This window comes from Homo sapiens, chromosome 3 (genome assembly GCF_000001405.40).
Source record: "Homo sapiens chromosome 3, GRCh38.p14 Primary Assembly".
In the NCBI taxonomy this organism is placed as follows: domain Eukaryota; kingdom Metazoa; phylum Chordata; class Mammalia; order Primates; family Hominidae; genus Homo; species Homo sapiens.
Window position 1 is genome coordinate 177,318,923 of NC_000003.12, and position 14,338 is coordinate 177,333,260.

General features: G+C 43.2%; 1 long non-coding RNA gene across 1 annotated transcript in view; it reads left to right on the forward strand.

Annotated features, from left to right (window-relative positions):
• LINC00501 (long intergenic non-protein coding RNA 501) overlaps positions 1-4,513 on the forward strand; it is a 28,994-nt gene extending 24,481 nt beyond the window's left edge. Inside the window, exon 2 of the long non-coding RNA NR_047465.1 lies at positions 2,507-4,513. This is a non-coding gene — a long non-coding RNA (long intergenic non-protein coding RNA 501). The remainder of the gene's footprint in view (positions 1-2,506) is intronic.
• Positions 4,514-14,338: the final 9,825 nt, after the last annotated feature.

The window sequence follows — 14,338 nt, forward strand, 5'->3', positions numbered from 1 at the left end:
AAAGCAAATCCTAGAAATCTACCATTTTACCCCTAAAATCAGAACTTTTAATTAATTAATTTATTATTTTAGGCAGAGTCTTTCTGTCACCCAGGCTGGAGTGTAGCGGCGCGATCTTGGCTCACTGCAACCTCCGCTTCCCGGGTTCAAGTGATTCTCCTGCCTCAATTTCCTGAGTAGCTCGGATTACAGGTGCGCACCATCATGCCCAGCTAATTTTTGTATTTTTAGTAGAGATGGGGTTTCACCATGTTGGCCAGGCTGGTCTCGAACTCCTGACCTCAGGTGATCCGCCCACCTGGGCCTCCCAAAGTGCTGCGATTACAAGCGTGAGCCACTGCACCCTGCCAAAATCCTAACTTTTTAAGCACAAGCACACAATGCCATTATCACATGTAGCAAAAGTGCCAATTAATAATCATCTTGGCCGGGCGCGGTGGCTCGCGCCTGTAATTCCAGCACTTTGGGAGGCCGAGGCGGGCAGATCACGAGGTCAGGAGATCGTGAGGTCAGGAGATCAAGTAGCTGTAGTCCCAGGTACTCTGGAGGCTGAGGCAGGAGAATGGGGTGAACCCTCGGGGGCGGAGCCTACAGTGAGCCGAGGTCGCACCACTGCACTCCAACCTGGGCGACAGTGAGACTCTGTCTCAAAAAAAAAATAAAAATAAAAATAAAAATAATCTCATAGGGTCACGATTAATGACCTAAGTTCAATTTTCTCCAATTGGCTCAAATATTGTTTCTTTTTTTGTGTGTGAATTGTTGGTTTAAAGCAGTCTCTTAATCAACAACAGCTCTCTCTTTTCATTTTTTTCATGCTTTGTTGAAGAAATGGGGTCACTCGGTGCATCTCCTATATTCAAGAGTTGGTTGATTGCATCTTTGTGGTTATAAATGCATCCCTTCTCCCCTGCATTTCCTATTACTTGGCGGTTAGACCTAGAGGCCTGATTAGATTAAAGTTCAAGACTATTCCATGCATGGTTCTGTATCGTTGATTTTGTACCACATGACAAGGCACATAAAATTTGGTTATCCTACTTTTAGTGATCTCAGTATTGATAAGTGATTTCAGGTGTTAGAGTCGGATCCAGCCATTATAATGTTTCCTAATTGTGTATCATTTTAATCTGTAGCATTAGATTTGATTGATCACATTTTATATAGGCTTTTTTTTTTTTTTTTTTGAGACTGAGTCTTGCTCTGTCGCCCAGGCTGGAGTGCAGTGGCGCAATCTCGGCTCACTGCAAGCTCCGCCTCCTGGGTTCACGCCATTCTCCTGCCTCAGCCTCCCAAGTAGCTGGGACTACAGGCACCCGCCACCTCGCCTGGCTAATTTTTTTGTATTTTTAGTAGAGATGAGGTTTCACCGTGTTAGCCAGGATGGTCTCGATCTCCTGACCTTGTGATCTACCTGCCTCGGCCTCCCAAAGTGCTGGGATTACAGGCGTGAGCCACCGTGCCCAGCCACATTTTATATAGGCTTTTAAAAACATTTACAGTCCATAAGTAAGCTAATTCTCTTGCTTTTTTTCTGTGCATTATTTTAATAGCTAAAGGCAACAGGATTAAAGAGTAGGGAATCCAAAGAGGGTGGTACTTTGATGTTAGGCTACCTGGTTACCATCTCAGAAGGCCTTCATCACCTTTTTTGAGATAGGCATAAAGCTCTAGTTCCTTAGGGGGAAACTGGCAAAAATACCATCAGAATCAGAGCAGATGCCCATCCCAAGAATGAGGAGCACAATTTGGAGGGATGTTAAATGTGCAGGCAGCCCTTCATTCTCCAGGTAGTCACCGGGATCTTGATTTCCAGAGCTGGTTAGTATCAAGAGACTCTGAGGGGAACACTGCAAGAACCCTCTCTGCAGTCTGACTGCGAGAGCCGTCATCCTATCCAGAAACATAAAGGTGCATTTCTTTCTTTCTAGATCACAAAGAGTTAATCATTTTGAACTGGTTGTTGTTTCAGGACTTCAACAGTTCACCATTTTTTTCTCACTGCTTCCTGTCTGGAGATTTGTTTTTTTCTTTGCGAGTAGATAATTTAAGAAATAGTTCTCATTGCCAGAAGGCTGACTCCTTGACAGGAAAGACATTAAATTTTATGCAAATCTGTGTGTGTGTGCTTTATCATGCACTTGGGTTTATCTTGGCAGTTGACATCCTAATGCTCAAAGGGAGTTGTGAGATGGCTTTCAGAAGCATGGTCTCTAGGGTTATGGGACACATAAAATCAGTGGGCAGCCTTTCCCACTATCTTCCCTTTCCCTCATTCTGTTTTTGACCTGGGCCTCTAGATTCGAGATCATTCCTTATCTTATTGCTAAAATCCTGATGCTTTGGGTAATGCGCTTTAAGAATGTTTTAAACCTCTGCCAACAACTTTATCCTGACTATCCAGGCAGGTTCATTACTGAGGTTAGTTTAAGATCTGGTTTCAAAGCCTGCCTTTCTTTGTTCAATCATTACTTGCTAAACATTTATTGAACCCTCCTTGTGCTAGGTCCTGGCTAATGCTGGGAAAACACCAAGCTGAAGAAGACATGTTTCCTGCCCTCCAGCAAAGAGATAGAGTCCAAGCAAATAACTACAACAGATGTGAACGCGGAAGCACAAAGGAAGAAGCTAATGCTTCCTGGGAGAGGTGACATTTCTTCTGGGTTTCGATACTTCTTCTAGTCCTCTCACATCTTAAATCTCCATTCTCAGTATTCTCAGTGGAGCATTTTATTCTGCTTCTATGATTTGGGGCAAAAAGAAGAGAATCTATTTGATAAAGTACTTCTAGAAAGACTGGCAGAAAAGACTCTGAAAGACTTTCTCAGGAGTAAGAAACAACACAACTTTCTTAATATTCCTGTGCTGTTTTCACATGCAAAAAATACTTTCCCCCTCCTACCTCATCGGTAGGGCAATGGACAAAATGGCTTTTCTTATAGTAAATAGCATGTTCCATGTAAGACGAGGCCATGATCTCCCTTTTTTGCACTTCAAAATATTTTAAAATTGCTGGATTATTTTTTCCTCTCCATTCTTCCTTCTGTGGCTTGACAATTACTAAAGCTGGTATGATTGATAACACGACTCAAGTTAGAGGAAGTCTTTTTTTTCTTGAGATGGAGTCTGGCTCTGTCTCCCAGGTTGGAGTGCAGCGACTGCGAACTCGGCTCACTGCAAACTAGAGGAGGCCTTTTTTTTTTTAAATCAAAGAGCCTCTTTTAAAATTATAACCCATTGGGAATATGCTGTGGGGAGGTCTCTCACAGCAGTGTGAAAGAGCACATTATCTTTTTTTTTTTTTTTTTGAGACGGAGTCTCGCTCTGTCACCCAGGCTGGAGTGCAGTGACGCGATCTGGGCTCACTGCAAGCTCTGCCTCCCGGGTTCACGCCATTCTCCTGCCTCAGCCTCCCAAGTAGCTGGGACTACAGGCGCCCGCCACCACGCCAGGCTAATTTTTTGTATTTTTAGTCGAGACGGGGTTTCACCGTGTTAGCCAGGATGATCTCGATCTTCTGACCTCGTGATCCGCCCGTCTCAGCCTCCCAAAGTGCTGGAATTACAGGCGTGAGCCACTGCACCCGGCAAGAGCACATTATCTTGTATGTGCCTGTAGCCCATCTGCAGACATGAAACCCAAGTCCCTGTTCTCCCAAGTGCAATGGAAACATCTCCTCTCCTGCGGATGAACTGAATAAGGGATAGTGAAGCATATTTTTAAATGTTTGCTATTGCTCGTTAGCCACAGTAGGAATTTCAATACCAGTGGCAGTGGGATCCCTCATTTTATTGTAGATGCCTTTTTTCATTTCAGCTTACAAAGCTTCCCTCCGTTGGAGGGTGGGGGCCGCAGAAATAAAATGGAAGGCAAAGGGGGGATGCGCTGCGATTTTTCTGCTCATTGTCTCATTTTGAAACTGCCCCAACTGTATAGAACTTCTAGGAAGCCCGTACATGTCGGCACATTCCCGGGGAAGAATGCTTCTCTTAGGAGCCAGTGCCTTAAGAAGTTTCTTCCGTGTTGCACTGGCATGCATGTCTGCTTAAATCGCCACTCTCCTCATGACATTTGGCAGGACTAGGAAGTTCACGTGTCAGTCCCGCTATTGGCCCACGTGACCCCATCCCCAAAGACAGGCAGTGAACCCCTGTGTTTTTATGCCATATGAACTGAGAAGTAGACGCATTCTGTGTAATGGATACACACTGAGGCTGCAATTTTTGAAAAGTCATTGTTTTGACTTCCCTATATTCACATCGAATAACGCTTTTAGTCTTTGCCCTCAGTACTCTAGAAGGGGCTATATAGCCTGTTTTTGTATTTGTGGGAAAAAGACTAGAAGCTGGGCAAAATGCCACCAGGAAGACTAACATGGCGACGTGATCCCAAGGGAAACTGAGGTCTCACACTGTCCAGCAACAGAAGGAGGTTGAATTCTGGAGGAGGTTTAATTTTTTAAAAACTCAAACTAATAAAAGATGTTCACAAATATTAAATATTTTTATTTGGACTCTGTGTGTATTTTAAATTTTTTATTATCAACATAAAAAATATATGCTGGTATCTGTTGAGATCCAGTTAGGAAAAGAGAAACCATACTGGATGTTTTAAACAGAGGCGGGTAAATACAAGGAATTACTAGCCTGAAAAAAAAAAAGGATAGCGAACTAACCAAGAGATTATGAAAATCATAAGTAGCTACCATCCCTACAGCTATGAGGAGCCACTGCCTCAGACTGGGGTTTGGGGAGAGGCCGTGGCTTAGTTGTTATTGAGGCTGCTAAGAGGGTGTCACACAGCTGTGCCCAGTCACTGAGAGCACCTGCCCAGCTGGCTGAAGCCTCTGCAGAGGTGCCTCATGGCTATGCTAGAAACTGTGTGGGCTTCTAGGAGGCCACTGTGCAGCTGATGTCCAGACCCAGAGGGGATTTGGCCTGGCCATCCTCGGGGTGCCAAAAGATGCTAGAGGCTTTGCTGTGTCTGTGCTGGAGAGATGCTGACGATGGCCAAAGGCAGGAAAAGTATCTCCTCTCCCCTTCTCCCTTTCATAGTTCCCTCAATGCCTCTCACTGGCAGAATTTAACTGGCGAAAGTTGGTAAAAAGAGTCTTAGAAATGTGGTTCGCGGCCAGGCATGGTGGCTCACACTTGTAATCCCAGCACTTTAGGAGGCCGAGGCAGGCGGATCACCTGAGATCAGGAGTTCGAGGCTAGCCTGGCCAACATGGTGAAACCCCATTTCTACTAAAAAATACAAAAATTAGCCAGGCGTGGTGGCACGCACCTGTAGTCCCAGCTACTCGGGAGGCTGAGGCAGGAGAATCGCTTGAGCTCGGGAGGTGGAGGTTGCAGTGAGCCAAGAGCACCAGCTTGGGCGACAGAGCAAGACTGTCTATAAAAAGAAAAGAAATATGGTTCTCATATCCCTAACCCCAGCATCACAGAGCACTGTGTAGAAGCTGCATCTGGGGCTGAGAGGCGGTAGGTGAATAAGCATCACAGATCCTCCCGTTGGGTACCAAGCATCCACATATCATCCTCTACCCATTTGAAAACTTCTCTACTGCAGCAATAGTAACTTCATGCTTCTGGTAGCAAGTTGTAACTTCCCTTTGAAAACATGCTTTCAACTTCTACCCCTAAAATGGAGTTACAAATCTCTTAACACTCTTCACATTCATCTCTGGGTGATGTTAATTATTGTTTTTATTCATAAGAGAATATATATATATATATAGTGTATATACATTTATATACTCTTTATATATTATAAAGTTAATTATCACCAACAGTGTTTATATAAAATATTTGAAAGTTAGGAGGAAAAAAAGAAGAGAAACAAATGAAGACAAAAGTATTCGTATCCACTACTTTATTTCTGGAACTGGTCACAAAGCCACAGTTAATATTTATAAATTCCTTTTTCTACTACCTATTCTACATTTCCCTTGCCTTCCGCCAGCTGGTCAGTATTCTTTATCTAGTGAAGTGACCCGGAAGGGTCTGAGGTTTTTTCAGCCCCCCACCTTTATTTTTTTTTATTTATTTTTATTTTTGAGATGGGGGCTCACTCTGTCACCAGGCTGGAGAACAGTGGCGCAATCTCAGCTCACTGCAAACTCCGCCTCCCGGGTTCAAGCCATTCTCCTGCCTCAGCCTCCTGAGTACTTGGGATTACAAGCGCACATCACCACGCCTGGCTAATTTTTGTATTTTTAGTAGAGGCAGGGTTTCACCAGGTTGGCCAGGCTGGTCTCAAACTCCTGACCCCAAATGATTCACCCACCTCGGCCTCCCAAAGTGCTGGGATTGCAGGCGTGTCCCACTGCATCCAGCCCAAAGCCCTGTCTTTATCAGGCATAAAAAATGACAGAGATGCCTTAGAGAGTCCCTTCAGCTCCAGATCTAGTATGCCCCGGCCACACTGTGCAGCAGCCAATACAGCTAAACAGAAGCAATCACCCCAACCAGTGCAGTAACCTCTTCCTTTGTCTGTTCGTTCAGTGACACAAGGAACTGAAATTGCCAGATGGTAATCTCAACTTCCAATTCAATAGAACAATTGTTGTTTCCCTGCTAGAATCATTCTTCCTTTAGGAACCAAGCTCTCTAACAAGTGGAACACAAAGCTATGGGAATAGGAAGCAAAAATTCTATAAGTGGGTTATTGGGAGGAACAGTGAGAGCAACTATTGTCATTTTTACCTCTTTATTTCCAGAACCATAGATTCTGGCTATGGGGAAAGAAGCACCACGTATTGGTCACAGTTTTAAGTGCATATACTGCATCTCGTAGGATAGTGATTTCACCCCACAGATGTTCTCTCAACTGAGTCGTTAGGAGACCATTCTACCTTTTCTCTGAGGCCAGATCCTTTTTTTTTTTTTTTTTTTTTGAGACAGAGTCTCACTCTGTCACTCAGGCTGGAGTGTAGTGGAAGCTGTCTCGGCTCGCTGCAACCTCCACCTTGTGGGTTCAAGTGATTCTCCTGCCTTAGCCTCCCATGTAGCTGGGATTACAGGCATGCACCACCATGCCTGGCTAATTTTTTGTATTTTTAGTAGTGACGGGGTCTCACCATGTTGGCCAGCCTGGTCTCGAACTCCTGACCTCAGGTGATCCACCTGCCTTGGCCTCCCAAAGTGCTGGGATTACAGGCGTAAGCCACCACACCCAACCGAGGCCAGATCTTTCTAAGAGTTAGTGATAAGACCAGTGAGTTCCATGGGCATGAGCCCATTGCTATACTTTTTTCTTTTCTTTTTTAATGAGTTCCTTAGCCTGAACAATGTTGCGTGGGATACCATGAAGGTGGATAAGGCAATCCATAAGTCCATGGATAGTGTGTTGGCAGAAATATTGCAACCAAATAAAACAAATCAATATCCAGATTAAGTGTCTATTCTGGGGAAGACAACTAGAGCTCCTCATGATGGAAGTGGTTCAGTGCCGCTGGTGCCTGGATTGTCCCCCTTCCCTACCAAATGGTGGTATAATAGAAACGTGTGTTGGCCTCTGCTACTGTCAGCTTAAGCACTTAATGGTGGTGGTGAGCAGATCACCAATGGGAAGTCTATGGTGCTGAGCCCATATGCAGCCTTCGTCCTTGCTGGCATGGTCTTTTGTATATGAATCTATTGAGCAAGTACCTGTTTGGAGAAATAAGCTGACAGACATCCATTGAATAAGCCATCCTTCCTACCTGATTATTGAGAGCTCTGTAGCAGATGCCTTTGTGAGCGTTCGCACAACACTTAAATACCCTCATGCTCTGACAATTAAGAGGTCCGTCCACATACTGCTTTGCAGACAATATTCTAATCCTTTCTTTCTAAATTCCTGATTGTTCAGCCAAACCATTAGCCATTATACACGAAGCAGTAAACGTCCATCCGTATCTCAGGCCATCTCTCAATCCAAAGCGGACAAGGAGATAATGTTGCTTAAAGTCTTTCCACTGAAAGGATTTCTCTTTTCTTTTTCTTTTTCTTTCTTTTTTCTTTTCTTTTCTTTTTTTTTTTTTTTTTTTTGGTAGAGACAGAGTTTCACCATGTTGGCCAAGCTGGTCTTGAACTCCCAACGTCAGGTGATCATCCAGCTCAGCCTCCCAAAGTGCTGGGATTACAGGCATGAGCCACTGCGTTCGGTCAGGATTTCTCTTTCTTAGTGTGTTTGTTTGTTTTAGCACACTTCTTATCGTGGCTATAATGCTCTATTCCTAGCTTGCCAGTGTACTGGAAAAAAAGAAATCTATAAACCAGATTCTTCTTCAGCAATTTGTTCACAGGGAGATCACCATAAAAACCTAACACTGGATGAAGGAAAGATGGCAATGCTGCAGAAGAATGTGCCATAGGAGCCCGAGCCTTCAGTACACGTGACTACATTGTTGCTTCAGAATCTGCTGGAGTCTGGTTTGGTGTGTACCATTTCCACTTGGTGATGAAGTATTGCCATGCATGCTTAATTGTGTGGCCTAATGAATCAGATAACACCTAGTCAATTGTGGGCAGCTCAGGTGACATGGCCAGGTGTTCAGTCTCTATAAAGCTCAATAGTGGCCAGATGTGGTAGCTAACGCCTATAATCCCAGCACTTTGGGAGGCCTGGAGGGGGTGGATCACTTGAAGCCAGGAGTTCAAGACCAGCCTGGCCAACATGGTGAAACCCTGTCTCTTCCAAAAATACAAAAATTAGCCGGATGTGATGGCGCACGCCTGTAATCCCAGCTACTCGGAAGGCTGAGGCAGGACAATTGCTTGGACCTGGGAGGCAGAGGTTGCAGTGAGCCAAGGTCACGCCACTGCACACCAGCCTGGGCGACAGAGCGAGGCTCTGTCTCAAAAAAACCCAAACCAACAAAGAAAGAAACAAACAAAAGCTCAATAGCAAGACAGGAGAAGTTTCTTAAAAGGAAAACAGTTATCTAGAAAAGAGGCCACATCTTTACTTCAAACGCTAGGAATATGCACATGGTTATCCTCTTAAGGTTTGCCATAGGCTCCACACAGCATCCCTGTTTACTATAGAAACATCAGGTGCTACTGGATCTGCTGGGCCACATGGCCCTTGCCTTGCACGTGCTGGTGCTGGATGCGTCTACAGTCTACATTCCGGACTAGCTCTCAGTTGGTCACCACTCAAAGCTGGTTGTATTAATATTATGCTAAATTGGTCAGAGCAGCACACTCAAATGTGCTGTATCTTGCCTCCAAAATAGAGGCTAACACTGAAAATCTTTCTTTGTTATAGTTGGTGCAAGGTACCAACTTGTCTTCCACTTTGTGGGGAATATCTTAATATGATCCAGAATGTTAGATCTCTAGAAACTTCACTCAGGTAGCTGGCTTCTGGATTTCATGGGGTTAATATTTCTACCTTCCGACAAGCTTGTATCTTTTTTTTCTTTTTTTTTTGAGATGGAGTGTCACTCTTGTTGCCCAGGCTGGAGTGCAATGGCGATCTTGGCTCACTGCAACCTCCGCCTCCCGGGTTCAAGTGATTCTCCTGCTTCAGCCTCCTGAGTAGCTGGGATTACAGGCATGCGCCACCATACTCGGTTAACTTTGTATTTTTAGTAGAGACGGGGTTTCTCCATGTAGGTCAGGATGGTCTCGAACTCCGGACCTCAGGTTATCTGCCTGCCTTGGCCTCCCAAAGTGCTGGGATTACAGCTGTGAGGCAATGCGCCCAGCCTCTTGTATCTTAACTAGGCACCTGATATACATGCTACCTACTGTTCCTTAGATCCAGACATCATGATGTCCCCCATGCAGTCGACCAGTTTGATCTCTAGTGGAACCAAGGTTCCTGCACACTGGATTATGACATGAGACTCGACATAGCCTTGAGACAAGATGATAAAGGTGTCTTCTGGTAGTCCCTTTAAACTGATGTAGAGAAAAAAGCTTAAATTACTAGTTGCCAGAATATAGGACCATCATATAGAAGGCTGGGCTTGGATCTTAGAGACAATGGGAAAATAATTAAAATAATGTTCTTCACAATTAATAGAAAGTGGGAATATGCAATATGTAATGTGGTAGATGGGGGCGGGGATGGAAGAGACTTTAAAAAAATCCAGATATGATTGCTGGATCTTTATTTAAAAAACACAATGTTATATAACTTTTGTGCCCTTTTTTTTTGCTAATTATAAAATGCTGTCACATCCTCAGATTATATGGAAAAGTATATGAATTAAATAAATGGAAAACAAACTCTATAAATGGTACAGGGTTATTGCTGTTTACTTTCGTCCTCAAACTAGACTTGTAAAATAGTTGGGCTAATGCTTAGCCTCATTGTGCAGATGAGGAAAGCGAGGCTCTCTGTATTTAGGTAACTTGTCTAAGTTCTCACAGCTGATCAGTAATAGAGTTTCAAACCAAAACCAGCTATCTTGATTGATACATTGATATTGGTGATATTGGCCAGCCGTGGTGGCTCACACCTGTAATCCTAGCACTTTGGGAGGCCCAGATGGGCAGATCATGATGTCAGGAGTTCGAGACCAGCCTGGCCAACATGGCAAAACCATGTCTCTACTAAAAATACAAAAATTAGTCGGGCATGGTAGCGGTCACCTGCAATATCAGCTACTCGGGAGGTTGAGGCAGGAAAATCGCTTGAACCTGGGAGGCAGAGGTTGCATGAGCAGAGATTGCACCATTGCACTCCAGCCTAGTGACAGAGCAAGACTCCGTCTCAAAATAAATAAATAAAATAAAATAAAATAAAATACAATAAAATAAAAAACAAGATATTGGTGATATTCTTACAATGTGTGCCTATGTTTGCATAATTGAGATATTAATTTATATTTTCTTGTTTTATTTTTCTCCTTTTTCCCCTCTCCAAATGCTAACCCAAGATTTGCTTTGGAAGAAAGAACGCTGCAAATCCTAATCCAAGAATGCTTAGGAAGAAGGATAGAAGCAGAAACAGGAGAGAATGGAGAGACTCTTTAAGATGAAGAAAGAATGTTGGCCTTCAGCGTGTTCTTCAAGTAAAGACCCATGCCCAGCACTCTTGAAGCATGTTGGGGAGGAGCTTGGAGAGGAATAACTATGTGGTAAGAGGCTGAATATTAGATTTGGAATCCTTCAGCCCTGGCAAAGATTTCTGTGCCAGGCTTGGCAGGAATAAACAGAGCTGTCTGACCTTAAGGGATCGCAGGAGTTTGGACATGAGTACACAGGTGGTGATCGCTATGAATTGAGGACAAGAGGCTAGGTCCAAATGAGGTGCTCTGGGTAAGTTCCCAGGGGCTTTTGCACAACATTGGAAGGCCCAGTAAGATGAGGACTTATAATCAAGTGTATTTTGATTTTCTTTTCTTTTTTTTTTTTTGAGACAGGGCCTCACTCTGTCACCCAGGCTGGAGTTCAGTGGTATGATCTTGGCTCACTGAAACCTCCACCTCCCTGCTTCAAGTGACTCTCCCACCTCAGCCTCCTGGATAACCGGGATTACAGGAACCCGCCACCGTGCCCGGCTAATTTTTGTATTTTTAGTAGAGATGGGGTTTCACCATGTTGGTCAGGCTGGTCTTGAACTCCCGACCTCGGGTGATCCACCTGCCTCGGCCTCCCAAAGTGCTGGGATTACAGGCGTGAGCCACCGCACCCAGCTGTATTTTGATTTTCAACCAAAATGAAGTATTGTGACATTTTTCATACATTCTTGTTTGTGGAGTAAAAGTCATACGTCCTACTTGTATATTTGTGGGTGCAGAAGAAGAAAGCAGGACAGCAATGGTGATGGGAGTGTGATTCTGGGTATTAGAAAGCTTGAGAATTTGCATCATATCACCAAGGGCTTAAAGGGAAAAGAATGACCGATTGTGCCCCTTAATGTCACTCTCAACTCCATATGTTTTCAGTTTATTACTGGTACGTGCCAATGGCTGATTCACTTAGCTGTTTGGAAGAGAGTGCTAACGAGGCCAAGGTCAGGGTTCTCATTTCCATATCGTCAAATACACTTAGTGAGAGTACTTCAGCTCCAGTCGCCACAGATTAAATCCCTAACTCTCACCAACTGTCTCACAGATATGTGTGCTGGGTTATTGGAGGCCAGGTGAGAGTGTGTGAATGGGTCAGCACAAAGCTTTACCGCCACCAAGGACAAAAACAAAACAGATGTCCTGTTGACATCCCTGTAGTTTGTGTGAATGCTTATGAAGGAGAGAGCACGCTGCTGCCATGTGAACTAATTCACAAAACAAATACAGCAAGCCAAATTTCTCTAATTTTTGAAGAGAATCTGATATCATTTCACCCATAATGTAACACATGTTGTGGTGTAATTTACAAAAATAATGCAAATTTTAAGAAGCATATTAAAAAAATCTGCAAAATGAAGATGGGGATTCTAAGATTACCTTTTAAATATAAATTCTAGAAAAGCAATGTAATTAGAATTTGCCGGGTGCAGTGGTGCATGCCTGGAGTTCCAGCTACTTGGGAAGCTGAAGTGGGAGGATTGCTTGAGCCCAGGAGTTTGAGGCTGCAGTGAGCTAGGATCATGCCGCTGCCTGGACAACACAGTGAGACCCCTTCTTTAAAAAACTAAAAAAGAACACATAAGACTTTTAAAATATTTAATTATGATTTAATTTACATACAATGCACTGACCTTAAGGGTTCATTTTGAGAACTTTGGCAATTGTATACACCCACATACCCACTACTCAAAACAACTCACTCTGTCACCAAGGCTGGAGTGCAGTGGTGCAATCTCAGCTCACTGTAACCTCCTCCTCCCAGGTTCAGGCAATTCTCCTGACTCAGCCTGTAAAGTAGCTGGGATTATAGGTGCCCGCCACCAGGCCCAGCTAATTTTTGTATTTTTAGTAGAGATGAGGTTTCACCATGTTGTCTAGGCTGGTCTCAAACTCCTGACCTCAGGCAACCTGCCCACCTAGGCCTCCCAAAGTGCTGGGATTAAAAATGAATCTTTTTTTTTTTTTTTTTGAGATGGGGTCTCACTCTGTCACCCAGGCTGGAGTGCATTGGCATGATCTCGGCTCACTGCAACCTCCGCCTCCTGGGTTCCAGCAATTCTCCTGTCTCAGCCTCCTGAGTAGCTGGGACTACAGGCATGCACCACTATGCCCGGCTAATTTATTTTTTGTATTTTTTAGTAGAGATGGGGTTTCACCATGTTGGCCAGGCTGGTCTTGAACTCCTGACCTCAGGTGATCTACCCACCTCAGCTTCTCAAAATGCTGGGATTATAGGCCTGAGCCACTGCACCCAGCCAGGAATAGCATATTTTAGTTTTTTTTTTTTTTTTTTTTTGCTCACAGGCATAGAGTAAATTGCACAGGAAACTTCTCTGATTGAATATTGGAGGTCATCTTTTGGTAAGTGTGGCACACAATGAATCTAGGCATCATAAATTCTAAGATGTAAATTACAAGAGCTTTGAAGTTTGAAATGATTCTCCTAGGCAATGCATTGCACAAAAGAGCAGAGTGGAAATGTCATCATTTATGTTTTATTTTGGAGAATATCATTTCCTCAATTCTTTCCTTCTCTACTTTGCTTTAGCAGATTTTGACATAAAAGAAACCTCATATTCTTTATAGATATAATGTGGAAGTCTAATATTTCAGAATTCAGAATAAAACTTTCTTTCGATGCCTTTAATAAGATCTTAAAGCATTTAAAAAGCATTAATTAAGCTTTACACAGCAACTCTAAGATGATTTGATCAATTCGAAAACATAATTGTAAAGTCTGCACTCAACTTTCAATTACTATATGTCCCAGTGGAGAAAAAACAGAGATAATACAAACCACAGATAATAACCAAACCATTTCTACTCAAGGAACAATGGCATAGATACTTTTAAAAATGCAGCTAATTCCAAATAATTTATATTTGATCTTAGAATGCATTATATGATTTTCTTTCATGAAACCATGTGGAGATTTACTATTATAATTATGCTTTATTTAAATGAAAACTACAATTAATTCAGTCTCCATATACACCGATTATTGGAAGGAAGAAATATATAAAAATTACAGGCTGTGTGTCAGAAGGAAGTGGTCCACAGATGTGTTTTTTTGCCTGTTTACAATCTGGAAAGTGAAGTCATCTACGTAAGGTTGCATTTCATAAAGGTTTAGAGATGAATGAGTTCTGTTAAACTACATCAGCCCAACTCATTTGATAAGTAACAATGAGGCCCACTAGAGTGACAAATGACCTGCTAGGGCTGTCTAATGACAGTATTATTTACAATCAAAAAAGAGAGCGAGAGAGCCTGAGCACAAAAGTCTAAATTTTTCACAACTGAAGAATGTTTGAATAAATTATGAGC